The sequence below is a fragment of the Homo sapiens genome, chromosome X (genome assembly GCF_000001405.40).
Source record: "Homo sapiens chromosome X, GRCh38.p14 Primary Assembly".
In the NCBI taxonomy this organism is placed as follows: Eukaryota; Metazoa; Chordata; class Mammalia; order Primates; family Hominidae; genus Homo; species Homo sapiens.
Window position 1 is genome coordinate 29,719,377 of NC_000023.11, and position 27,667 is coordinate 29,747,043.

Sequence of the window (27,667 nt, forward strand, 5' to 3'; positions counted from 1 at the left end):
CATACCTACCACTACTTGCTTATCCTCCCAACCTGCAAGGTAGGCATCAATTACCCAATCCTTACCCAAAGTCACATGTCTAGCCAATGGTGGTGTCGAATATTCTGATGAAAGAGTTCTATTGGCCCCGCTAAAGAGTTGTGGGGTTTTTTAAATCTTTAACTCAAGTTGTTTCAGTGAACCTAGAACTAAGACTTTTTCAACCACTCCCAAATTATTGATGCTTGGGTTTTGCAACAAATGCCCTCTAAGCTCTCAGGATAAGTTGGGGGAGGAAAATGAAAACATAATAGGGTAAGGGTTGTTCTCTAACTATTCCCAGACCAGTTCTCACCTTCAAACTGCTCTCTCTCTCTGAAAGATGAGCAAAAAAAAAAAAAAAAAAAAAAAAATGTGACCTCACAAAAGGTTGTGTGACCTCAAAACCTGCCAAGAGTCCTCAGTGCAGCCCACTCTGAAGACAGTGGAACAACTCAGGAAAGAAGGTAGAGTATTTTATAGACCCTAGAGTCTTATCTCATCCCATTCTGCTTTCTGTCTTCTTGAGGCACAGTTGGCTTAACCTTTTCTTGAAGTGAAAACTATGTGAATAAGAATATTAACCCCCAAACAACTTAAAAGCACAGTCAACCGCTTCATCACTGGTCATTAGAGAAATGCAAATCAAAACCATGAGATACCATCTCACGCCAGTTAGAATGGCAATCATTAAAAAGTCAGGAAACAACAGATGCTGGAGAGGATGTGGAGAAATAGGAATGCTTTTACACTGTTGGTGGGAGTGTAAATTAGTTCAACCATTGTGGAAGACAGTGTGGCGATTCCTCAAGGATCTAGAACCAGAAATACCATTTGACCCAGCAATCCCATTACTGGGTATATACCCAAAGGATTATAAATTATTCTACTATAAAGACACATGCACATGTATGTTTACTGCAGCACTATTCACAATAGCAAAGACTTGGAACCAACCCAAATGTCCATCAATGATAGACTGGATTAAGAAAATGTGGCACATATACACCATGAAATACTATGCAGCCATAAAAAAGGATGAGTTCATGTCCTTTGCAGGAACATGGATGAAGCTGGAAACCATCATTCTCAGCAAACTAACACAGGAACAGAAACCCAAACACCGCATGTTCTCACTCATAAGTGGGAGTTGAACAATGAGAACACATGGACACAGGGAGGGGAACATCACACACTGGGGCCTGTTATGGGGTGGGGGTCTAGGGGAGGCATAGCACTAGGAGAAATACCTAATGTAGATAACGGGTTGATGGGTGCAGCAAACTACCATGGCACATGTATACCTATGTAACAAACCTGCACGTTCTGCACATGTATCCTAGAGCTTAAAGAAGTATAATAAAAAATAAATTAAAAAAACAAACAAACAGAAAAACAGCTGACAAAACAGAATTGCCCAGCGTAACTGTATTTTTAAGTTAGCAGCAAAAATAGAATTTTGATTTTATGTCATGTATATTGGGAAAAAGGAGCAAATGATATGATGTCAGTTAAAAGAAAACTAGCATAGTTCAAGATTTTCCCATGATTCTCCTATGAACTTGAAATTCCAAACCAAACCCAGCTGAGTCCAAAGCCAGTAGTGCTCTTATCAACTTTCCATGGCAATGTCTTACAATTCTCTTTAGGCTAGGGCCAGGGGAAGAATCCATGGAATTGACCACTTGGCAGGACATTACCAAGGTAGGGGTGGCTATAGAGATTTCAGCCGAACCACCCTAGGGGATGAAGCAAGAACACAATGACCGGGGCAGCTCCAGGCTCACCTCCTCCATGAAGCTTTTCCTTCTCTCTCTAGGTAGATTAGGTGACTGCCTTCTTGGGGAAACATTAACATGGGTTAGATAATATGAGCTATTCCTATATGGCAACAAGCTAGGTGAGGAAAATGAAGATACGATGCATCTATCCCATCTCTCCAGCACCCAGGACAGAGCCACTATATCCTGGCATGCTGTAGCACAGAGTAGAGAGCCCTGCAGCATTTAGGCACATTGAACATACTTGTTGATGATATTCTGAGCCCTCTTTCCTTTAAATCATTGTTGAGTATTTTCTGGGTCAACTCACAATATAAAACCCCTGTCATAAACATTCAAAAAACTTGATAAGCTACCAGAAATGTTCAATTAAGGAACAAAAAGAAACTGAAGAGCAACAATGGACACCTCCCCTCCTGAACTCCACCAGAGAACTTCAGTCCATTTAAAAGATGAAGCCAGTTTTAATCTATAATTTATGTCAAATTTCACTCTTAAGTCACAAGGTTAATATTTTTAGTAGAAAATGTTGATTATAACAGAAACTCAGGTATCTCATATGCACATACTCACGGTATGATTAAAGATAATCAGGTACAATTTTACTATGAGATTGGACAATGTTTGAAGAATATCAATACTGTTTTAGTGAAAAGCAGATCAAAGTATGAAATTAAAAATATCTTTAGAATAGTAATACTTAAAAGAATTCAGTAATTGGAATGCTTATCCATGTTTTTTAATCACTCTGTTTTAAATCTGACTTTCAGTTGTTTCAAAATGACAGGTTATGTTGATTAGGTAAATTATATTAGCATTTATTTGTATTTAATTTCTACATTTCCTGTTACCATCTTTTTGCCCACTTTTCTATTGGTATGCACCTTCTTTTTTATTGTATTTATTTAAGGTATGCAACATGGTGTTTTGATATACATGTACATAGTGAAATGATCACTATAGTCAACCAAATTAACATTTACCTTCCCACATAGTTACCTTTTTTGTGGTAAAAAGGGCATGCTCATTCTTATCTTTTTGATTCATATAAATGTCTTATATGTCACTTATATTAGCACTGCAATACAAATGGTTGTTTTAAATTGATCTTCTGCCTTAAAACTTTACTTGAAAAATTAATTAAAATACTTTTTTCAGATAAATTCTGTCTTTGAATGTCTGTTTCAGAAAGGTCATATTTATCCAAGAGGAGACAAATAGCCACCTACATTTTCTCCCAGTGCTCTTAAAATTAACTGCAATATATCTGAATCTTTTGTGGCAAGATTATCTTTTTCCTTCTGTTTTTCTCAAATGAGTAACACATTTTTAACCCAATTTTGAGTGATAAATCTTTTTTGCATTGTTTTGAGATGCTATTTATAGTATGTAACAAATTCTTACGTATGCTTGATATGCTTCTAGACTTTCTCCTATTTTGACATCTCTGTTCTTTTTTCAACACCACATCAGGACCATTCTTTTCGTGATTATTACCTCGATTTACATTGTGATATCTGCTGCTTCAGGCCTATTCAAACTTTCTTGACGATCCTTGCACATTTAATTCCTCTAGACTATTTTGGCATGAGTCTAATAATGTCATTGGGATCTTTATTGAGATTACATTAAAATATTTTGATTAATTTAGGAACAGCTGGCAGTTTTACAATATTAATTTTCCATTCAGAACATATGCTTTCTCTATTTTTCGAGGCTTTTAAAACATTTCTCACTGTAAATTGTTATAGTTTTCTTAATGCAGATCTTGCACATTTCTTATAAAGTTTATTCTTATGCATTTTATAATTTTGTTACTGTTGTAAGTAAGTTTTTTGGATCATATTTCTAATTTTTATTCCTGGGCATATAAGAAAGCTATAGCTTTATGTATACAGTGTCTATTTTCAGACTTTTTATCAGACCGGATAGAATGAGGATCTTACCAATTTCAGTGTGGGTATAAATAGAATATTAGCACACTTGTACATTCCCTATGATTTTTTAAAACAGTATTTCCTTTGATAATGAGTTATTCCTGAGAACTTTACATATAACTCTGCATGTTTGTTTTGTTTTGTTTTGTTTTTTGAGAAAGGGTCTTGCTCTATGGCCCAGGCTGGTGTGCAGTGGTGCGATCTCGGCTCACTGCAACCTGTGCCTCCCGGGCTCAAGTGATTCTCGTGCCTCAGCCTCCCAAGTAGCTGGGATTACAGGCACTCGCCACCACGCCTGGCTTATTTTTGTATTTTTAGTAGAGACGGGGTTTCGCCATGTTGGCCAGGCTGGTCTCGAACTCCTGGCCTCAGGTGATCTGGCCACCTTGGCCTCCCAAAGTGCAGGGATTACAGGTGTGAGCCACTGTGCCCGGCGTCTGCATGTCTTTTTGTGAATGATTTACTTTACTTCCCATCTGTGGCTGATGGGACAAAAGAAAAATTAAGAGCAATGTGATTAATGCTAAGATTGACCAACAGTTTTTAGAAAATTAAACTGCTTCCACATGAGATAATTCATGTTTTCTAGATACTTTATCTTCCAACAAGTGGTAAGTAATGAAGTAGATAAACTTCGTTGTCACTATGTTTATATTTCAAGTTTTCTGAATGAGGCAGGCGGTGTAATGTGTATATATTATTATTATTGTTTTTATTTTTGAGACACAGTCTCGCTGTGTTGCCCAGGCTGGAGTACAGTGGTGTGATCTGAGCTCACTGCAACCTCCAGCTCCTGGGTTCAAATGATTCCCCTGCCTCAGTCTCCCAAGTAGCTGGGATTACAGATGTGCACCACCATGCCCAGCTAAGTTTTGTATTTTTAGTAGAGATGGGGTTTCACCATGTTGGCCAGGCTGGTCTCGAACTCCTAACCTCAGGTGATCTGCCTGCCTGGGGCTCCCAACGTGCTGGGATTACAGGCGTGAGCCACCATGCCTGGCCAATATGTATATACTATTAATTAATATGAAGATATTGTTATGCTTGGATGACACCCTTCCTGTTGCTGAGGCAGGAGTTACAAATAAAACATAGCTCTTCGGTCTGCTCCCAGATCCTCCTCACTGTACTCTTGCTCACATTTTGTCCCTGACAGATGCCTAAGGGCCACTGACCACTCCCTCAGGAAATCTCTGTAGCTATACAAGCAGCAGGCATAGAAAGAAATGAATTGTAAGCTATTCTTCTAGCACTCTAATTAGACTTTTCAGTCTAATTGCAGGAGATGAAATTGAGGCAGATCAAATTCTCAGGATGACTAGATTTGAGAATCATTACAAAGTAATACATTGACAATTACAAAGCTAGCATGCTCCTGAGAGTAGAACTGAACCTTCCTCAGCCTCAGAGTATCAGATGTGAATAAGAATATCTCATCAACTTGTTTCACATGCTTGTCCACTTGTTTTAAAGGAGAAAATGCAAATAAATATGCTGCAAGGCAGTCTAGGTAATAATTATTTACACTCTAGAGACAGACCTGGCTTCAAATCTTGACATGTACCACTTATTAACAGCACGTTGAAAAACACATTTCTTTAATACCTAGAGCCTCCACTTCTAGCCAGAAAAGTTAAGATAATTATAGAACCTACTGAATATGGTTGTTTTGATGATAAATGAAATTATGTATGTATGAGGTCTATCCTGACGCCTTATATATAGTAAGCATGACATAATATTATGTACTGCTACTATTGTATTTGCTAAATCTCCAATTGTTTTAAAGTATAAAAGAGTATTATTATTTTATTAAGGACACAGAGTGGTATTCTGAGAGGAGTGGGAATCCTCAAGAGCTTTTTTCCTGGAAATTAATTTTGAAAAGAAGCTTGATGAAAATCTTGCATTTAGAGTGAGGAAGACAGTCAACTCTGAATTACATAATTATATATATGTACTGGAGACACAGTTCGTTCCTATGATATAAGAAGGGCTGAAAAAAAAAGTTACTCCTTTATTTAATCTTAAACTGATCTGGTCTTCTTCATGAGTCCTCATCCATAAGGAAATTATATATATATTCCTTATCCAACAGAGGAAAAATAAATTCTCATTCTGGCTTAATCTGATCATTTAGGGCACAATCTCTCATAAAAAAGACAGCTTAGTCTCTCTTTCACCCTCCTTCTACTGTTACTTGTTGCAAATAAGATGATGTTCCTCCATTATATGAGGTAAAGGGGATGCTTCCTAAGCCCTCATGGTTGCAAGGAAAAATAAGTGCCCTTGGGTATCATGTCCCTTGTTTTCTGAGATAATATCCCTTGTTCTCTAGTCACTGATAAGCTTGTCAGCTGGTAGAACACACGATCGGCCTCCTAACTAGATCAGTGCCCAATATCATTCTCTGGTTCAGTTAGATTCTTCTTAAATTGGAATGTCTCCAGACTCCCAAGTCTCTGCTGTTTCCCATTCAGCCCTCTGGCCCATGGTCCATCTCTGGCATCCTCCACTGGGGCAACTAGTTTTGCCACTGCAGGTCCACCACAAACCCCTTAGCAGTATCTAGCTAGAACTCAACATTCCTAAAGATGTGTGTGTGTATGAGTGTGTATATCCATCTATATCCATATCTGTGTCTATATACTAGACTGTCAAAAAATTTATATGGTAACTTTTGTTCTACGACAGCTAGGGTACATTGTGAAAGTTTCAAAGCAGAGATTATGTCTCATTTATTTTTAGCTTTCCAGCACCTCACCTGATCTCTGATATAAGCAATCAATCTGTATTCTCTTCATGATGAGAAATATTCTCCATTCTCACTGATAGCAGATTTGTGACCACTAAACACACACGCAGTACTGGTGTGAACGCACAAACTATTGAAACAACAAGCACGCAACAAGCAAGGAAATTGTCACTGCTCTATAATTTGGTGATGAGATATCTGGTTACTTTCAGACAAAAGAAAATGTCTCATAATAATAGGGTTTTGTATGATTCTTCTCTTTCTTCCAGAAATAAAAAATTTAGAAACAAAACATTGAGGGACATTTTAGGTTAATTATGCATTTTAGAAGAGTTCCCCAGATATCATTTTTGTCTAATTTATTTTTCAAATTGGCATATAAAATTATATGTATTTATCTTGTACAACATAATGATTTAAAGCATATATACATTTTAGAATGGTTAAATCCAGCTAATTAACAAATGCATTATACCTCACATAGTTATCATTTTGTGGTGATAACCCTTAACACCCTGGATAACTTTTGATTCAGTTTCTGAACTTGCCATGTAAAATTAGTATTTGTACTCAATCAGTTTCTTCAGTTTGGAGTATCCTTATAGTGATCCTGGGCCCAAACTAAAAGTGCATAGGGAAAGTAGCATAGTCTCTTTCCATTTGCCTCTAGTCATTTTTATGTACTGATGAACATGTAAATGCTGCTGTACAAAGTACAAGACAGGGATGAAGACCCTGTTCTCAAATATTTCCAGGATAGGGAGAGGCTTTAATTATATTTTTTAAAGATTTTCTAAACAGAAGAAAGAAAAATCCCCATTGAGAGGGGAGGCAGTGGCTCATGCCTGTACTCCCAGCACTTTGGGAGACTGAGGCAGGAGGATATCTTGAGTCCAGGAGTTTAGGAGTTCAAGACCACCTTGGGCAACAGAGTGAGATCTGATCTCTATAGAAAATAAAAATAAAAAAAGAGAAGGGAGTGCATGGGGAAAAAGAAAACAATAACAACAACAAGAAATTCAGAAGTGGTTTGATGTGTTGAGGTTAAACTGAAACAATGCCTTCATTGCAATGAGTGCCTTTGACGTCTGTCAAAGGTGGTACAGTCAGTGACAATGACTGCATTCTTTCTGGCTTTGGGTTCACAGTGCTTTGCAGTGCTGTGCTATTCAGAACTAAATAACTGTTGTCACTGCTCTATAATTTGGCGATGATATCTGGTTACTTTCAGACAAAAGAAAATGTCTCATAACAATGGGGTTTTGTATGATTCTGCTCTTTCTTCCAGAAATACAAAAAAAAGACACATTTAAGAATTTATCTCTGTTCACATTGAGGAAGAAAATAAGCTTTAAAAAGTTTTACTCCTCCCTCCCTATAGCAATGCTTGCCTGACTTTCCATCGGGGGAAATGTTACTTTCAGCATATTCTGTGTGTGAAATAGACAGTGCCAGATGCTTCAAATGGTCATAATTGTGAAGGATATGAAAAAAGAGGCATCTTCCTACTGCGCTTTATTAAATGTGGAGGGAAAAAAACCCTTTGGGTAAATTAGCACTTGGAGGATTTAGCAAAAGTGAATTAACTATGACAGGGTCCCCTAACACATCTATTTGATGATCTTGCAAGTCTTATTCCCGGTTACCTGGGATACTACTTTGCTTTGGGATGCCATGGGGTCATTAAAATGTGAGACAGGTTCTCTGGAAGAGAAAAATCAGATGAATCTTGACTTACAGACAGTATGTCTTCCTAAATAGTATTTCTTTTGACTGACCATACCTTTCCCTTGATGCTATATTTCTCCCTCATGCGCTCATCTGAACAAAGAACTGACTGCGAATTTCAGCTGCCAAAACCAAAGGACAGTTGGAAAGGCTTTTTACAAGCAATTGGCAAGTGTGCTCTCAAAAACTGAATATATAGGTGCTGTTTTTCTCTTATAAATTAGTATTGAAATCTAGCCTCTATTATGCCATGGGAATATAAAAAGGAGAAATGAAGGCAGAAGTATGTGGTGACTACATTAAAAAAATGAGTCCACTATTCTTATTCTTCTTCTTGTTATTTATTTATTTATTTACTTTGAGATGGAGTCTCGCTCTGTTGCCCAGGCTGGAGTGCAGTGGCGCGATCTCGGCTCACTGCAAGCTCCGCCTCCCGGGTTCACGCCATTCTCCTACCTCAGCCTCCCGAGTAGCTGGGACTACAGGCGCCTGCCACCACGCCCAGCTAATTTTTGTATTTTTAGTAGAGATGGGGTTTCACCGTGTTAACCAGGATGGTCTTGATCTCCTGACCTCATGATCCACCTGCCTTGGCCACCCAAAGTGCTGGGATTACAGACGTGAGCCACCGCACCCAGCCGAGTCCACTATTCTTTCTTTTCTTTACACATAATTCCAAAATCAAAAATAGCTCCGAGATACCAGATGTCTTTGTGGTAACTCATTCAACCCAACTTGAATGTATTTGGTGCCTGAAACTTATCTAACCTACCGTGAGATTATCTTTATCTCTCTCAATGTGACTGTTCATATGCTTCACTGCAAAAATATTAGTGTGTTTGATGACAGGGGTGTTGTAGACCCCACTGGGGGTGCTATAGAATCTGTGTAGTGTTACTTCTATAAATCTGACAAATTCTGGATTTTAGAACAGAAAATATTTTGTTACAAGTGAGGCACTGTGCTGCTTTACAGACTTTATCTCACTGAAGCCTCACAACCTCCCCCAGACGTGGACATTGCTCTGATCTCTAGTTTATAGATGAAAAATTTAAGGATTCAAAGGTGAAATAAGTTGCTCAGAGTCACTCTTCTATTATAGTTACGCACTATTGCATAATAAACATCCCGGAAATATAGTGACTTGAAACAACATGTTATTGTTAACACACACTTCTGTGGATTGACTCAGCTCAGCTGAGTGGTTCTGATATGTGGCTGCTGTCAGATAGGAGCTGGGGTTGGAATCATCTGTAGGATTATTGGCTCACATGCCTATACCTCAGCTGGAATACCTTGAGGCTGGTCAAGCATGTCTCTCTGCATGTGGCCTCTCTGCATGGCTATATTATTCCTCCCAACATGGCTGCCTCAGCATAGTCAGAAGCAGCTCCTAGACTAGAACAAGTGTTCCAGGAAGTGGAACCTGTCAGTCTATTAAATCCTGGGCTCAGAAACTGGCATGGTGTCATGTCTACGTTTTTCGATGGGTAGAAATAGTCAGAGACATCATATAGTCAGTTATATCCCCTCTGATATCTCACAGGGGATATAACTCCAAGTATTCATGTAGGAATGGAGGCTGCTCAGCTTGTAAGTGAACATCTGGGACTTAAATTTACATCTACCTAGTGCCAACGTCCATTGACAATGAAGTAAAACCTACCTGTCACCCATTTTTCCCTCTGCATGCCACCCCGACCTGGTGGCTTAATATTCCATTTTTTTTCAGTCACTTTCCTATAATCTTCTACCTCCACCAGACTGTTCTGTAAAAAGGCTATTCTGATGATGCCAAAACGTAGACCTGTGCTTTATGTATTTGAAGGAATGGGCAGGGAGTATTCTTCTTTCCCCTCTCCTCTACTTACATGACTTCAGTGATCCTGATTTCACCCTCATTTTTAAAATTTTCATCTTGATAAGAAATACCTAGGAAATAACAAACAAGGAGATTCAGGTAAGAATTGATGTGAGGAAGAGAACTGGGGAGAGCATTCTGGAACATTCCAACTACAGTGAGCAGCTTTACTCCTTTCTCCACCTTCCCATTACCTCCAAACTCTAACACATTCCTCCTACTAAAATGTAGTATATTTAATGTTTCCTTTTTTTTAAACATTTGCCCCAGCTCCTAACACAGTGACTGTATTAATTCCCATTTCTGTCTCAGAAATGCACGTGTGAAACTCCATAGGCTGGCAGATATGCTCCCCAGACATGTCACCTATGACCTGTCTCTAGATCTGCCCTCTATCCAAACGGAAAGTGGAAAAAAATAGCTTGGTCATGCTTGTTAGCTGATAAGGTTTTAGCTTTGGCTATATTGAGACCTTGAGCTGTTTTTGCTTTTGTTACTTAAGCTGTGGGATCTGGTCAACTTGGAGACAAATAGAGAAGGCCTTGAGAATTGAGGTTCTATACTGATTTGTGGGGGAATAATCACAATGCTGTTCAGAAGGAGAGTTGTTGCACTTGCTGTCTTTTTAGGAAGAATCAAAGCTTCACTGGGATTTGGCTAGCTGGCAGTCATAATTTTGAACCCTATCCCCATTGGGCCAAACCTATCACATGTGTCAAAATGACATGGTTCTTTCAGGGGACTTTTGGGAGTGAGATCCACAGCAGGCAACTCTGCTAATAAAATCCAGCTCAACAGTAACATTGCATTATTTAGCCTTCCTCAGAGACATCTGGCATTTGTCTTCCATTTCCTTTCTGTTACAACTTTACCCCCTGGATGCTGGAGATACAAGTAACCCTTCTTGCTGTGTCTTCTCTTATTCTCCCAATAACTAAGCAACTTATTTCTATTTCTTAAATAAATCTCATGGTTTTCTGACTTCTCCAAGGTCCTCTTGTCAAGTCAAATGAAAACTACTGATGGCCCCTTCCAAAAAAAATAAGTATCATTACCTAGAATGTTCCTGAATTCTGGTTCATTAGCACAAGGTGAAGACATGATGTGTCACTTTTTAGGGCCTTATCCTCTTGTTTCAGTGATGATGCTGTAGTAGACAAGAACATTTTCTAAAAGAGAATTATAGTCTTCAGGGCCAAGAAAGTAGTTAGGCCAGCAGTCATGAACACTATGCTACAAACACCAGATAAGAACTTGTTGCCTTGCCAGTGGTAGAATTGTTACAAATCTATGTGGGAGGGCCTTTGGGATCTTCTCATCTAATTGCCTCATTTTTCTATTAGGAGATTGGTACCCAGGTAGGTAAATCCATCTTCCCACAGATATGAGATGACACAGTAAGGCTATAACCCAGCCCTCCTGATTTCTCCTAGCTCAGTGACTGTTCTGCAATAATGTATTTAGATCAGAATTCCTTTCTTTGTCCATCAGCATATCCTGAGTGTTTTACTCTATCCCCAAATTACATACCCCTGTGATTTATACTTATGTCACATCAAAGCTATTTTTAATTTTCTAGGTCTCTTTTAAATTTTGGTACGTTGGTCAAGAGACCTTTCCTTGATCTTTCTCACTTGCTACCAACGTTTTCATTCCTACCCTCTGTCTTTATTGAACTGTTAAGCCCATGTTGTCAGGAAAATTGGCACACCTTTTTGGCCAACGAATTAAAGGCAAAGGGATAAAGTGGGTTCTGCTGATCATCATATAGCTTTCCATCTAGTCTCACCAGGCCTGGCTGATGGAGGAGATTTCCACCTCAGCAAAGACTGTAACTACAGCAACTAGTGAGTTGTATTGTCCACTTTATGCTAGCTGGTGAGGAGATCCAGCCAATGTGGAAGGGTTTGTAAGTACATACATGTAGTCCCCTGCAGAATCTATGCCAGAATCCCATAGTTTGGGCATGCGTCAAAGACATCTGATGTGGAGGCCCCCTCCTCACCTGCTCAGGGTCTGAGAGACTGTGACTCTGATCTAGGTGTCTATCTGGCAGTCTTAATGAGGGATCCTCCAGGAAGCAAAAATAGTGCAAAGTAAAAGGGTTGATACCCCTGCCTTTGACCTTTATTTTCAATCTAATAAACTTACCTTTCTCAGGAAAAGAGGTGAGAGCTGGTATTTTGGTTTTGGTAACTAGGGTCTGGGGACAAGGAGCTGGTCACGTGCTCTGACAGAAAAACTAGGATTTCAACCCCCAGCTGGGAGCTGGAGGGGAGTTCTGTCTTCCTCACTTACTAAGCATGCTTGAAAAACATTAAGCTGAATATCAGAGCTTGATTGTCCTGCAGATGCCACCCATTAAGACAGCAAGGGCTGAGGAAGGAGCCTGAGCAAGTATAGAAAAGAACTTACCTAAGAGATCTTAAAGCAGAACCTGGAAACACTGGAAGCAGGACATAAATTCCTTTTGCACAGCAAAGCGATCTTGTGTTCCTGGTCAGTAGAGGCTCCTTTACTTTCCTTCAGCTAATGAACCACAAAAAGAAGATATATATAGTATTGACTTCTGAGGCCAGGGAATTTTGTTTTCTTTATTTTTCTAAATTTGAGTAGCATATGCTTCAAAACATCAGATATTTACTATCCTCAAAATGACTGGAAAACTTAGAAGGATAAGGCACAAGGAATGGCCTAAATAGGCTTAAATAACAAATCCCACTAATGGAGTGATGGTATATAATGGAAAGACAGTGAGACATTAGTCTTCTTTGGAAATAACGTGTAAGAGGATTTTGTTAATTCTCATTACTTTTCCTTCACTTGGCACTGTACCCCACCCCCGCACTTCTAACTGTTACGATAGCTAGAACTAGGCAAAATGGGACAAAGTAATTCATCTGATCATATCTTTACTCATTTTCAGTCCTTATCTCAAAATTTGTGAGTGATATAAAAGTCACGATCCATTAGTGGCTCCATACCCTTCATAATGTGATCTCCATTTTCCTCGCAATCATCAACTCATGGCACCTCCCTTTGATCTATCCTTTCTATGCCCTAACTACGAAATTAGCTAAAAAATGGTGTAGACTTTCAACACACAGCATGTGCTCTTTCCTTCCACATAATGAACATCCTTGCTCTTACCTGGTAACTCATTACTTGTCCTATACATTCCACTTGACTTGTTTCTCCTTCTGCAAGGATTTTGTCAGTGATGTTATCATATTTTTCTGATGCATCTTCTTTATGAATACTTTTTGGAGAATGTCTCTGTTGCTGGTCTCAGGCCCAGGGCAGTTTTACTTCTCTCTTAGGATTGGTTCGTATTTATCTTATCAACGCTTAGTAGTGACATCTACCAGCTTTTCCCTTTTGCAATGGTTGCCAGAACTCTCAGAGGCAAATTTGTCGCACATTTGTAATCAAGAGTATGAATTTTCCCAAATACATTTCTGGCTATATTTTTACAAGCTGAACTGTTCTTTTTCTCCCCTTTACTTTAAAATGTGATATCTTATATTTTATGGAACCTCTTTCTGGAGCAAGGTGGCCAAGGAAGGAAGGAAGAGAAAGGGAGGGAGGCAGAGGAAGAGGATGAGAGGGGAGGGAAAGGGAAGGGAGCAATGAGAAGGGAAAGGAAGAGAAGAAAATCCAAATTCAAAGCCTACTTTCTTCATGAGTCTGTCACCTGAAAAAATTAATCACTTTCCCTCTGAGCTCCCCCAGTACTTGGAAGAAGCCTCTGTTATGGCTGTTATAGCACTTACATCTCTGCATGTCAATTCTTTGTCTTCTTGGACTTTTTTCCCTCCTATCTGACTGCAAATTCTTTAAAACAAGGACGACTTCTTCCTTTTTTTAGTATTCCCAGCTTCTGGCTCAGTTCCTAGTTCAAGTAACTGCTCAATATATGTTTATTGAGTGAACAGTAGCTGAAAAGTAGCTCCAGGGGTTTAAACCAATCACACAAGTTGATTTACTTAATTGGAGTTCTGTTCAAGATTTAGCCTCATTCTCTGAATCAGACTTGTGACCTTCAGAACTTTATGTGTGACTAGTCACAGTCATATTTCTCATTGTACATGTCTCCAACTGACTTTCAGCAAATAACCTGCAGCTTTATTTAATACAAATCAGATCATATTAAATATAATTAAAAATCTCTCCATGAAATAGGATAAGATCCCATTGGGGCATCACAAAACACAATTATACCTTCATGGCATATGCTCTTTTTTAGCAAATCTACTTGTGAGTATTAAAGTCTGACAATCCTTTCTCAAAGTTAGTATCATCTTTTAAATAATACCATATACCAAATAAGAATTAAGAAGTCACTGTATTATTTCTATCCTGGATTATTTCTCTAAGCAGAATCATCAACATTGATACATAACAGGGATTTATTTGAGTTCAATGGCAAATCAGTTACATCAGTATAACAGTTAATTATATTCATTCTCTTTAATAGATGATGAAATTCTACAATATGAACTTAATTAAAAGTATCCCAGTGAGCACAGGTATGCTCAAAGTTTCTTTCTGCGCAAGTTGAAACAGATGCGACCACTGGAAGATTTGCTCACTTAGGTCTTCCAGGTCATTGCTAGGGCAATTACCTAAAATGTCATTTGAAGCATTAAACTAAAAATATAATCATCTGAAGAAATTATTATTGATTCCGATTTTCTCTCTGTTATTTGGAGAAGTAATAGGCACAGGAAAAAAGAAGACAGTATTGTGAGTAGGAAAATAGATTATCATACAGTGTTTTTCAAGTTGCAAGAAAAGAAGCATTTAATAATTTCTTCAGACAGGAACAAATCATCATTTAAATAAAGGGACAAACAAACATGATTTAACCTTCAACACAGATATGTGTTACATACACATGCATTCACACACATAAACACAGGCACTTGTGGGTTAGAGCTCTCTCTGGTTAAATTATAATGTCACCGTAGTCACTAATCATGACCAGACACCAGGACAGGACGCGGTACAGAGCAATCCACACTCCAGCTCCCCAACTTGCCAGCAGGCTGCTTTGCAGTGTTTCAGGAAAGAAGAAGAAAATGAGTTGACATCTGCAAGAGATAATGTCTGGAAATTCACTTCTACATCTAGTAAATAACTGCCATTCTTTCCAAAGATGCAGAATTTCGTTGATAAGCTATCTCATCAGTGACTTAACCATTTGGAAACATCTCCCTTCAACTTACTGTTCCGTGTTCTCAAAATAATAGTTTCAGCAAGATCAGGGGAAGCTACCCCTCTCCTTTTTTTCCCCCTTCCCTTGCTTTCAGCACCATCAAAATCTGGAGAGCTGAATAGAGATTACAATTTGTGAAGGGGAAACCTAAGGTTGTATGAGAGATATGAACCCCACCCCCCAATTCCCAGGGGAAAGCACCTGTCTTGAACTTTGCACAAGGATCTGCCACTGAGTTTCATCCTTATTTTCTCTTCTTGCTCTGTATTCCTCATAGTTGAATCATTTGTAGTGAATATTTTTTCTAAGGCATCTGTATTTGTTTTCTATTGCCATTATAGTAACTTACCACAAACTTCACAACTTAAAATATTCCAATTTATTATTTTATAATTCTGAAGGTCAAAAGTCTGGAATCGAACTCCCTAAGCTAAAATCAAGGTATTGGCAGGGCTGCATCCCTTTCTGGAGGCTCCAGGGGAGAATTGGTTTCTTTGCCTTTTCCAGCTTCTAGAGGCTGCCTACATTCCTTGGCTCATGGTCTCTTCCTCCATCTTCAAAGCTGGCAATGTCTACTTGTGTGTTTCTCATGCTGCATCTCTCTGACACTGACTCTCCTGTCTGTTTTTCTTACATGGACCTCTACAACTATATTGAGCCCACCTAGATAATTCAGGATAATCTCTTTATTTTAGGGTCAGCTGATAGCAATCTCAATTCCATCTGCTATCTTAATTACCCCTTGCCATCTAATTTAACATATTCAGATTCTGGGGATGTGGATATCTTTGGGGGACCATTATTCTACCTACCATAACATCTTTCTGGAAGCCTCAGCTTCTACTCAAACAAGCTGACCCCAAGCTAGGGGCCACATCTCTTCTTTGTACTCATGCATTTTTTTCAGTTGAAGTTTTTTCAATTGGAATAAGTTCCAGACTCATTCTGTCCGGTGTGAGAGTAGGTAGCAGCATTTCAAGAGGCTAAGATGCTTCTGTCATCCCAAGCTTTGCAGAGAAAGGGTTGATGGGGCACAGTATGTTTGAGATTTTTTTTTTCCTAGCCTAAGAACCAAATTGGAGATCTTATTTATAGATATTCCACCAATATGTCTTTATTTTCTTCACATATTTTTGGCTAGTAAGTGTTGGAATCATCATCATTTACATATTTCCCCCAATGGAAAATCAGTTACTGGAAACAGAGACAACAAACAGATGGCCATTAGGCCAGCTGTGTTGTGAATAAAAACAGAGTAGAACTAAGTTACAAAGACATGGAAGACAGAATAGACTTGGTTCTGGCCGTTAGCCAGGTTAAATTGGTATGTATGTGGCAACTGTGCTGCAAAACCAATGAAACCATTATGATCAGCTAGACCACAAAGAGAAAGAAAACCTATGAGAACACTGAAGTTGTCCACAAAGAAGCAGATTCTAATATGAAGATTGTGCATCCTAAAGGTTATGCAAGATAACCCATTGGGGTGTGAAACAAACTGTAAGCATTTTTATACCCATATCTCTATTTAAAATAAGAACTTCAACTTTACCAATATTTAAAATACAAGCCAGGCTTGTTGTCACATGTCTGTAATGCCAGCTACTCAGGAAGCTGAGGCAGGAGGATGTCTTGAGCCCAGGATTTCAAGACCAGCCTGGGCAACATAGCAAGAACCCTGTCTCAAAAAAATACAGTTTGACACTGCCACACTCATTGGCTTTGTACTTCAGCCATTCACATATCACACATGTGTATTAAAGAATTTGGGCTGGGCGCAGTGGCTCACACCTGTAATCCCGGAACTCTGGGAGGCCGAAGCGGGCAGATCACCTGAGGTCAGGAGTTTCAGACCAGCCTGGCCAACATGGTGAAACCCCATGTCTACTAAGAATACAAAAATTAGCCGGGCGTTGTGGTGCATGCCTGTAGTCCCAGCTACTTGGGAGGCTGAGGGAGGAGAATGGCTTGAACCCGGGAGGCAGAGGTTACAGTGAGCCGAGATCGTGCCAGTGCACTCCAGCCTGGGCAACAGAGACTCCGTCTCAAGAAAAAAAGAACTTGTTTGTGACTGGGGTATCTTTGGTTCATATGCAGTCACCTTAATGTGGCTAATTGCAATACTCATGAAATTGCTAAGTAGACTGATTATTATATTATCTAGTTTTAACTAAATTGACCCTTACAAAATGGACAAGTGCTTAAAAAATATGCACGTATCTTAAAGATTCTATAAGAAACTGCATAAGAAGATAAAACTAAGATGGGCCCGGGTAAGCATGAAGCAAAAGGAAGAAACAGTATTCCCCCAACCACCAGTGTAATCTCTTCAGTCACAGAAAAATGCCCAGTGTGATCAAATCGGACACATTCAATTTTGAGCACAAAAATATTTTTGTATTTTAAATGCATACAGTAAAAATAAAAATCATGTTATATTAATACTTGTTTCATCTTCCGCTCTGTTTAAATTTTTATTTAGTGCATATTTTAAGATGTTTGTAATAGATTAGTACAATAGTCCATGCTTGTACTTTATATTCTGAGGGTGTATACACATATTTTGAGGGTAGGTATTCAAATTTCTTTTATGGATAAGGGTACACAATCAAGATGGTTTGTAGACCATTGCTCTAGAGGATAGAGCTTTTGGAGGGAGGCAACAAATTCCAAAGGAAAGGTTTGGCATGGAAAAACACTTAAAAGCTCACTGAGAGAAGGGTGTATCAGGGAACTCTAGTGTAGGTCATAGGACTTGCTACACTAAGTTGCAAATTTGTCCAAATCTGACATTGCCAGGAAGCTAAGTCTTGCACTAATCTTTGTGTAGTACTTTTATCCTATAATAGGGTCCATGACATATTAGATAAAGAAAAGAAAATAAACCATAAGGGTCTCAGTGAGATCTTCAAAATTTTACACTTCTACTTTGTTTTTAATGCTTAGTAAAAGAACTGCTGAAAAAGTCATTAAAAAATGAGTATTTTGTCTTTAACCAAGAGCCGGGAAGTATCTCAGAAACATATTTCAACATTAAAATATCAAATAATCAATTTTTATAAGAAGTGCATTTAATTAGCAACTTGGCTATAGCTAGCACACAGTGAGTTAATCTAATAATCAGTGACTCTCTGGACAGAGTCATCTTAAATTCAGCTATTCTTTTATCGATTTAAGAAATGTAATAATATGCATTTTATAGCAAATGGCTAGAAAATTTCAGCTACAGAATACTTCATTCTATGAAGCCTGATTATTTTATGGCTTAGAAGATGTTCATAACTTCTGTTCCAACATGATACAGAAGCATCCTTCAGAATGTTATCTTTAAGATCACAGAAGTTAAGAGATTTAAATTTCAAAGTGAATATTATCCATTTTCTGTTCTTTTTTAGCCTACTTCTAGGCAAGCCCTCTGATGCCCTCATCGTTTGTTTAAAGTTTCTCTTTCTTCCAGGCTACTTTGCGAATCAATTCCAGATCACAGAGGAGAGAAAACCTTATTCCTTTTTTCCACCCCAAGCTCACCTTCCTAGACAAGATTTTTATCTACATTAAATACATTCGCTAACCCAGGATAGTGACCTACCCATAGCAGTGGCTTCTGTGGAGCTCAGCAGAACATAGAGAAGTCCCACAATGCTTGATTAAAGCCATCAGGAAAGCCTGAGGTAATTCTAAAAGATCCCACTCTGTGGTACAAAATGGCCCTAGAAGCCAATCTTCTGACTACTTGTCATTTTATTTCATTTCATTTCATTTTTTCTTTTCTTTTCTTTTTTTTTTTTTTTTTTGATTCAGGGTCTCACTCTGTCAGGCTGGAGTGTATGGTGTGATCTCGGCTCACTGCAGCCTCGATTTCCTGGGCACAAGCAATCTTCCCACCTCAGCCTACTGAGTAGCTGGGCTACAGGCGAGTGCCACCAGCTAATTTTTTGTATTTTTTGTAGAAATGGGGTTTCACTGTGTTGCCCAGGCTGGTCTCGAACTCCTGGGCTTAAGTGATCTGCCTGCTTCGGCCTCCCGAGGTGCTGAGATTACAAGTGTGAGCCACCACCTGGCCTTGTCATTTTGTTACCGTTAACACTTTCCTCTAGGTCTGGTTCCCAATGCGCAGAATCCGGGGAATTTGAACAGGGCTCTCTTGGAGAGTTGTTTCATTCTATGTGCTGGGATAAAAACAAATTATTTTTCCTGCTAGGAATGCACTAAAGATCCCTCCACTGTATCTTCCAGGAGGTTCATATTAGTATTTGCTTTAGGGATAATGTTTTGGATTGCACCACAGAGCAAAGTTTTTGGTCAGACAATCTAATGGGACTAATAACAGCCGACCTGAACATTGACAATTCTTGCACATTATCCCATTCCATCCTCACAGATCAGAGAAACCCAATTAGGTAACATTTCCCCACTTCATAGACCAGGGAAGGAAATTTCTGAGAGGTTAATTGATGTGCTGAAAGGCACATAAAGTGCCCGGCTCAGTCCCACGTCTGGCTCTAGATTCCTTTTTAGTTCTTCTGTATTATGCTGTCTCTTCTAAATGGATTATTAGGTTGGTAATGTTATTCTTAGTCATTCTGCCCAAATAATGAATAACAGATTATACATTTAAGATGTTAAAATGTATCATAATTTTATTATAACTGAAAATGTTCAGAATTTTTTTAAATAATAATTTTGGGGAAAAGAAAACTTCCTTATACATTGTTTCCTCAGTATTTTTTTCATTAGGTATTTTTTCCATTTGGCTGTGGCAATCCTTGAGATTGATTCTCACTGTCAGGGTCATAACTCTCTCTCTTTCACCCAGCGGTAACCATGGAAACATATGTATAACACGTCCTGCTTCTTTTAATATGATTATTCATGAGTTGCCATAAAAATATAAAGTGTATTTGTTTGCATATTTAATTGTTAAAATAACACAAGTATTTGCTTTTAAAATACCTACTCATAGCTCTGTGGTCATGTATACATAAAGTACCAACCATTCTTAAATCCTAGGATTAAGAAGTGACATGTTGCAAATTTAGAGTACCTTGCTCTTCACCAGTTGTATAGCAAAAGAGTTTTAGTCAGTTTAGAAGTACCATGGGTCCACCGCGTGGTGGCTCGCACGTGTAATCCCAGCACTTTGGGAGGCTGAGGCAGGTGGATTGCCTGAGGTCAGGAGTTTGAGAGCAGCCTGGTCAACACAGTGAAACCCTATCTCTACTAAAAATACAAAAAATTAGCTGGGCATGGTGGTAGGCGCCTGTAATCCCAGCTACTAGGGAGGCTGAGGCAGGAGAATCGCTTGAACCTGGGAGGTGGAGGTTGCAGCAAGCCGAGATCGCGCCATTACACTCCAGGTTGCAGTGAGCCAAGATTGCACCATTGCACTCCAGCCTAGGCAACAAGAGTGAAACTCCATCTCAAAACAACAAAAAAACAAAAAAACAGAAAAAAAAAAAAAAAAAAAGAAGCAGCAGCAGCAGCAGCAGTACCATTGGTCGAATTAGGGTTCCTGTCCCATTTTTCTGCATACATTTAAAGTCTAATGTGATATAGTAAGTACTTTCTCCTTTGAAGATCAGCTATAATCTCAGAACTTAATATTTCACTTGTATAGAAGTTACTCTTAAATCAGATTCTATGACCCAGACAGCCATCCAGAATTTTAGTTCGTCATCTCTAGCTTCCTAATAAAAATATCCAAGTGGATGTCCCACTACCCCTTCCAATTCAATTTGCCTAAAACCAAACTTGTTATCTTTCCTTCAGGGTTCAAGTCCTTTCAGAAATTTCTTAATTCAATCTCCAATCCCATCATTCTCTTAGTTACTCAGGCTTAAACTTTTGTTATCCTACGGCATTTTCTTTCTCTCTTCTTTCACGTCCTATATCCTATAAATTATTCTTAGCTTCTACTAGCCTTTCTATTTCCACTGCCACACTTGTTACATTGTGCTGAGACTACCCTACAGTGCTTTAACAAGTCTTCTCCCCCAGCTCTCATCTCTTTGTATCTGCCTTCCAGTCTACTCCAAGGTCGAACTGTCTAACTCAACATTTTGCATATGACCCTCACCCCCTCACGACAACCATTTCTTCTAAATTAAATTGATGTATAACACCATTCAAAAGTTATTTCTTTCAGCTTCAAAACAATCACTCCAGTATATACATTACTTGCCAACATGATGTGAGGTGAACCACATTTCTTGCCCACACGCTGTTCTCATTTCTGTTCTAGTTCCTCACTTATGACTTGTAAATTGAAAGCACCTAGATTTCTGTTGTTATTCTGGATGAGTAATGGCAGGACAACCCTAAATCCCAAGTATTTCTGTGGCTCTTTTAAGGAAAAGAAATATACAAAAATAGTCTAAAGGAAGAAAAATATAAATATTCTAAACATTAGTCTTATATCTGTGTTACATTGCCATTATATCAGTTTTGCTTGAAATAAGACTGTGGAGATTAGATATTAGTTTTAATTTATGACATTTGGCAATTGTAAACAATTTGTGTTACTTTATTCTTTTAGAATCTGTGTAGTTTTCCAAAATTAAAATTAAAATTCCATTTCTAGCCATAGAGGAGTCTTCTTAGTTCTATTTGAGTCAACAATCATTTTTAAAGTTTTAATTTGAAAATTAAGGACAGATCCAACTAGGATTGTGAGTCCAGCAGACATACTGTGTGAGCACACAGCTGTGGCATATCTGTGGAACGGATAAGGGTGGCATATTTTGGCACTTGTGGAACTTATTCCCATCATTTTAAACAATGCTTGGTAGGTTTATATCAACAGATTTATTTTCCCTTCAGCTATTACGAGAGTAAAGCAGAGACCTAAGGTCTGGCATATGAATCTTACAAATGAGGGATTTTTAACTAGGAGCGACTCTGAAAGCTTCTTACATTCTTGGGACAGTCTGCAGTCATAGATTGAATGAGAAAAGCCTCATATTTTGGCTGGGTGCGGTGGCTCACACCTGTAATCCCAGCACTTTGGGAGGTCGAGGTGGGCGGATCATCTCAGGTCAGGAGTTCTAGACCATCCTGGCCAACGTGGCGAAATCTCGTCTCTACTAAAAATACAAAAATTAGCCGGGCATGGTGGTATGTGCCTGTAAGTAATCCCAGCTACTTGGGAGGCTGAGGCAGGAGAATCGCCTGAACCTGGGAGATGAAGGTTGCAGTAGGCTGAGATCACTCCACTGCACTCCAGCCTGGGCAATAGAGCGAGACTCCGTCAAAAAAAAAAAAGAAAAAAAAAAAAAAAAAAAAGAAAAGCCCCATGTCTTTTCATTGACCATATACGATCTCTTAACCAGCACAGCATTGATGCATTTCAGCCATCTCACAAAACTTCCCTTTTATCATTCTGAAATGATTTTATCTTTCCCAAGAGACTGATAGACAAAGCAGCTTTGTATACTCACGTCCTGGTTATTGTGCATTATTAGGAAACAGATAGGAAAGCTACCCTCATACAGAGGCTATGTAAATATTATTTGGGGAAGAGGAAAAACACATATGGGTGCTAAGAAGATAAGACAGTGCCTCTGACCGTTCTATTTGATGTTTCTTAAACCTGCATTGTTATGAAAACTCAGGTAAATGAATTTGTAATGACTACTGAAAATGAAACAGGAGTATACTTGAATAAGTATTGACATTTTTTTTTCAGGTCATTTACTTTAAGACTCACAAAGAACATATTAGCTAATAGAATTCATGGCCAAACCATGATGTAAATGGAGCTAAGGTCAGAATTAGATTCCTTAGGGAGCTGAAGAAAAAACACGGCTATGACCCTAAAACCAATCTGCTGACTGTTTTCTGCTGACTCTTTTCTGATGCAAAGTAAATGGTGGGAAAAAAAAAACTGATACTAAAAACAAACAAATAAACAAAAAAACCTCTAACTATCCAACCACCTGTGCAATACAATAGCTTTCTATAAAATAAAACAGAATGGAAAAAAAATCTCAAAATCATGAGTTGAACCAATGAAACATACGGGTTGGTTCAGCATTGCAACCAGATGTCATCTTAATAAAAACCAACACTATTAGCTCTTTGATGATTAATAATAGTAAATACCATTATCACACTCAAATATGACTCTTTAGGCTGGGTTACTAATATATACAATCAACCTGCATTTTTCCCGTCTTTCCGGATTTGACAGGAAGAGTGGCTGTGGCATGGAGGAAGATTAAAAGTCTAAGAGAACCTCGGATTTAGATTCTAGTTGCGGCCCTGCCCTTTCTTAGTTGTGTGACCTTGAGAAAATCAGCTAACCTCTCTGAATCCTATCCCTTCACTTGAAAGTGTGTTAAAATGGCACTTATACATGATAATTGTATAAATACGTTTATATATGGCATATATAAGTAATACATATGTAATATGACAGTATTGAAGTTAATATAAACTAATATGATATAATGTGTTTATATACTATTTACAAATTATATATTAATATAATGTATTTATATTAACATAAATACATGTATATTAGTTTAAATTATATATGAAAATCTTATAATTAAAATTTTTACATATAATTATTAATATATCATAAATTTCTATATTATATATAATAAATTTATATATAAATCATATCTATACACACAATGCTTTGTCATGTGGGGTCATAAAAGAGTACTGCAATCATTATTATGTCTTCGGTTAACTTTACAATGAAAAGCTTCTTAATCAATATTAAACTACGGGCAAATATAATGCTGCTGCCTTCTAATGTAATTTACTTTAGGAAAAGCAATTGATGAGATAAAAGGTCTTTCTCTTTTTTCATTTTTATTTTTTTGAGACAGAGCCTCGCTCTGTTGCCAGGCTGGAGTGCAGTGGCACGATCTCAGCTCACTGCAACCTCCAGTTCTCTAGTTCAAGCGATTCTCCTCCTCAGCCTCCCGAGTAGCTGGGATTACAGGCACACACCACCATGCCCAGCTAACTTTTGTATTTTTAGTACAGACGGGGTTTCACCATGTTGGCCAGAATGGTCTCAATCTCCTGACCTCGTGATCTGTCTGCCTTGGCCTCCCAAAGTGCTAGGATTACAGGCGTGAGCCACCGCACCCGGCCAAGGTCTTTCTCTTTTTAACTTTGTTTGCAATACCTAGCTTGCCTTCATGCTGTTATATTAGGTTAGCATTAATTTTCCATTATTGGAGCAGATTGCCTACAAGCACACACATACAAATAGTACACTGAGGAGGAAGGAGCCAGTGCTGAAGTTCTTTTTCTGAAACGTAATAGAGCTTTTCTCATTACTGCAAATACATGAATGAATGAACAACATTGCAAGCACAGACGTTGCATACATTCTCTCATCAAGCAGCGCCATCACTGCCTTAGTACTTTTTGTTGTTGTTCAGCATTATTGATTTTTCCAACAATCGAGTTTGTTTGCAATAAACTGAACTGGAGCATAACCTTCACTAATTAGAAAAAATGTATGGGTATTAGCTTAAGGAAGCAATAACACTTCTTGTACGTTTTCTATCGAAACTCAGGGTGATGCTTTGTAGGAGTGCTATTGTTTCTTTTCCCCCTTGTGACAATGTTGTTAAGTATGATGCAAAAAAGTCCAAAGACCTTTTAAATAATTTGCATCCATTCTAGAAGGAAGAAGAACTACAAAGGCCAGGTGTGAATGGATATGAAAATAGCAACTTAGAATAGAAATATCTGCCATTACTCTCTCTGCATACCTCTAAGCCTTTGTCCCTATTTACAATTGTTTTTATATTCTGGTCCACTTTGAAAGTGAACACCTTAAGGATCTTTGTTTTAACTATAAAATTTAGAAAATATTCCTTGATTCATATTTATATTTGCTGGGTAATTATCATTTATAAAATCATAGTTGAACTAAGAAGCTAGAAAAAACTACATGTGTGATTAACTGTTTAGTTTTTCACCATTTCTGGTCAGGCTGTTTGAATTGGCCAATGCAGATTTCTTCATCCCAGCAAAGCTTAATCATAGAAGTAATTTCAATTATATAATAAATAAAAGCTGCTTTGCCTCAGCATATTCAGTGATTAAAAATGAGTCGTTTTTTAAAATTTTCAAATCTGACAGTATTTCTTGAAAGAAATAATTTGTGATGGAAATAAACTGAAAATGAGGAATACAATGGTCATTGAGGTGCAAACCAATGCAACAGAATAAAGTTAACATGAAATTTGAAATTATTGCCCAGAAATCAAAGTAACTATAAAAATATAGCTGTTATTAGGGAAATCTCTAGTAGGAAAAGAAAGCCAGAAATTATCACATTAGCATTACCATGGGATGTCATTCTAGTTCTTAAATAGAACTAAAGACGAGAGCATCGTGACTCTACCATTCATATGAAGGAGACTAAATAGACAATGATCTTGAATCCATTTCCTTTTAAAAATCTTAACAGCATAGGGTAAGTATTTGGTGATGGATTCTTGGCTGCAGAAAATTCCTCATGATAAACAGGGTGCTATCATTAAATAACACACATGCTAAATGCTGGGAATACATTAATTCCTCCAAGTCCAATTCCCTGTAAGTCATCTTATTCTCTAAAAATCATTGTCATAAAGGGAATTCTGTGTGTGACATCTGAGAGTAAGCATGTTTAGAAGTGTCTCAAGAGTACCTGACAGTAATAAAATCAGGAAGGTAAGACAAGAATTATCCAGTCTTTGCAGGGTCAAAAATGACCCTTCTCTTTATTCCTTAAGTTTTTTGTGTTTTTTTTTTTTTTTTTTTTTTTTTTTTTGGTGAGATACAGTTTAGCTCTTCTTGCCCAGGCTGGAGTGCAATGGTGCGGTCTTGGCTCACTGCAACCTCCACCTCCTGGGTTCAAGCAATTCTTCGGTCCCAGCCTCTCAAGTAGCTGGGATTATAGGCGTCCGCCAACATGCCCGGCTCATTTTTGTATTTTTAGTAGAGATGGGGTTTCACCATGTTAGCCAGGCTGGTCTCAAACTCCTGACCGCAGGTGATCCACCCACCTCGGCCTCCCAAAGTACTAGGATTACGGGCATGAGCCAACATGCCCAGCCCTATTCTTTAATTTTTAAGTAGCTTTGGCCTTCACTAGCATTACTACAGTCCTATATGTAAAAGTATACTGCTGATGAGGAAAATATACCTCATTTAAAATGTGTGCTTTAAAGTCGAGTCTCTGCTATCTACCATACCAATGTAGGTTTTGGTCACTATCAAGTTATTTTCGTTCTCAGCAAGTAAAACTGCCATGTTCTTCATGATTTTTTTCTATGCATACACAGTCATTGCTAAGATAAACATTATTTTTAGACATCAAAATTCCTAGCTTATTATTTTACATCATATTAGTGCAATTGTCAAGAGACAATTTTATATTTCTTAATTCACTTTTTCTCTTTGTAATCTGAGTTCCCCAAATAAGAGAAATATTAATAAGGGTGGCATATTTTGGCACTTGTGGAATTAACTAGCAATATGTAAATTCCTAAATAGCATACTGTTAAAATGCTTCTATTCTTCAAACTCTAATAATTTGCTAAGAAATTATGATAATAAATTTTAAGAATTTTTGGCTAAGTGCAGAAAAATCTGTTGAATTATTAATACATTAGCAAAATGTATCATTTAGGGAAATAATTTTATTGTAAGGAAAGAACTTAGAAATTTGATAATAAGCATAATTTAATGAATAATTTTCTGAATGAGTCATTTCTTTGCAATAAAAAGAATTTTTCTCTCTACATATGTGTGGAGCAAGTTTCTGTAAAGGAATCCAAAACTTGTAAGGAAGGGAAGCCAAAGAATTACCAAAAAATATTCCTGGGTGTTTTGAGGTTTCATAAGATATTTGATAACATATTGAATGACTCTCTTTGTGAAACATTTAGTAGCAGACAGTGCAGGAAAAAGCTCATTCTTTTTTTTTTTTCTTCGCGACAAATTCTTACTCTGTCACCCAGACTGGAGTGCAGTGGCGCGATCTCAGCTCACTGCAACCTCTGACTCCTGGGTTCAAGTGATTCTCATGCCTCAGCCTCCCAAGTAGCAGGGATTACAGGCATGTGCCACCATGCCTGGCTAATTTTTGTATTTTTAGTAGAGACAGGGTTTTGCCCTGTTGGCCAGGCTGGTCTTGAACTACTGGCCTCAAGTGATCCACCCGTCTTGGCCTTCCAAAGTGCTGGAATTACAGGCGTGATCCGCTGCACCCAGCTGAAAGCTCATTCTTTACTAATCATGAAACCCTATATTAAAAAAAACAAAACAATAAACTATTAGGCTGGTCTTTTCCAGTGATATAGCCAAAGCACCATGCCAGCAAGTGAAACATAATAGGCCCTCAATAAATAA

The 27,667-nt window shown here is 38.1% G+C and overlaps 1 protein-coding gene across 3 annotated transcripts in view, besides 1 other annotated feature; it reads left to right on the forward strand.

Annotated features, from left to right (window-relative positions):
- IL1RAPL1 (interleukin 1 receptor accessory protein like 1) overlaps positions 1–27,667 on the forward strand; it is a 1,369,273-nt gene that overhangs the window by 1,131,931 nt on the left and 209,675 nt on the right. The gene's annotated exons all lie outside the window — the stretch shown is intronic.
- Positions 12,144–12,685: an enhancer, noted in NCBI's record as "NANOG hESC enhancer chrX:29749637-29750178 (GRCh37/hg19 assembly coordinates)". NCBI's record gives its function as "activates a minimal SCP1, AML or CMV promoter by ChIP-STARR-seq in primed H9 embryonic stem cells {active_cell/tissue: H9 hESC(primed)}" and the evidence as "EXISTENCE:reporter gene assay evidence [ECO:0000049][PMID:30033119]".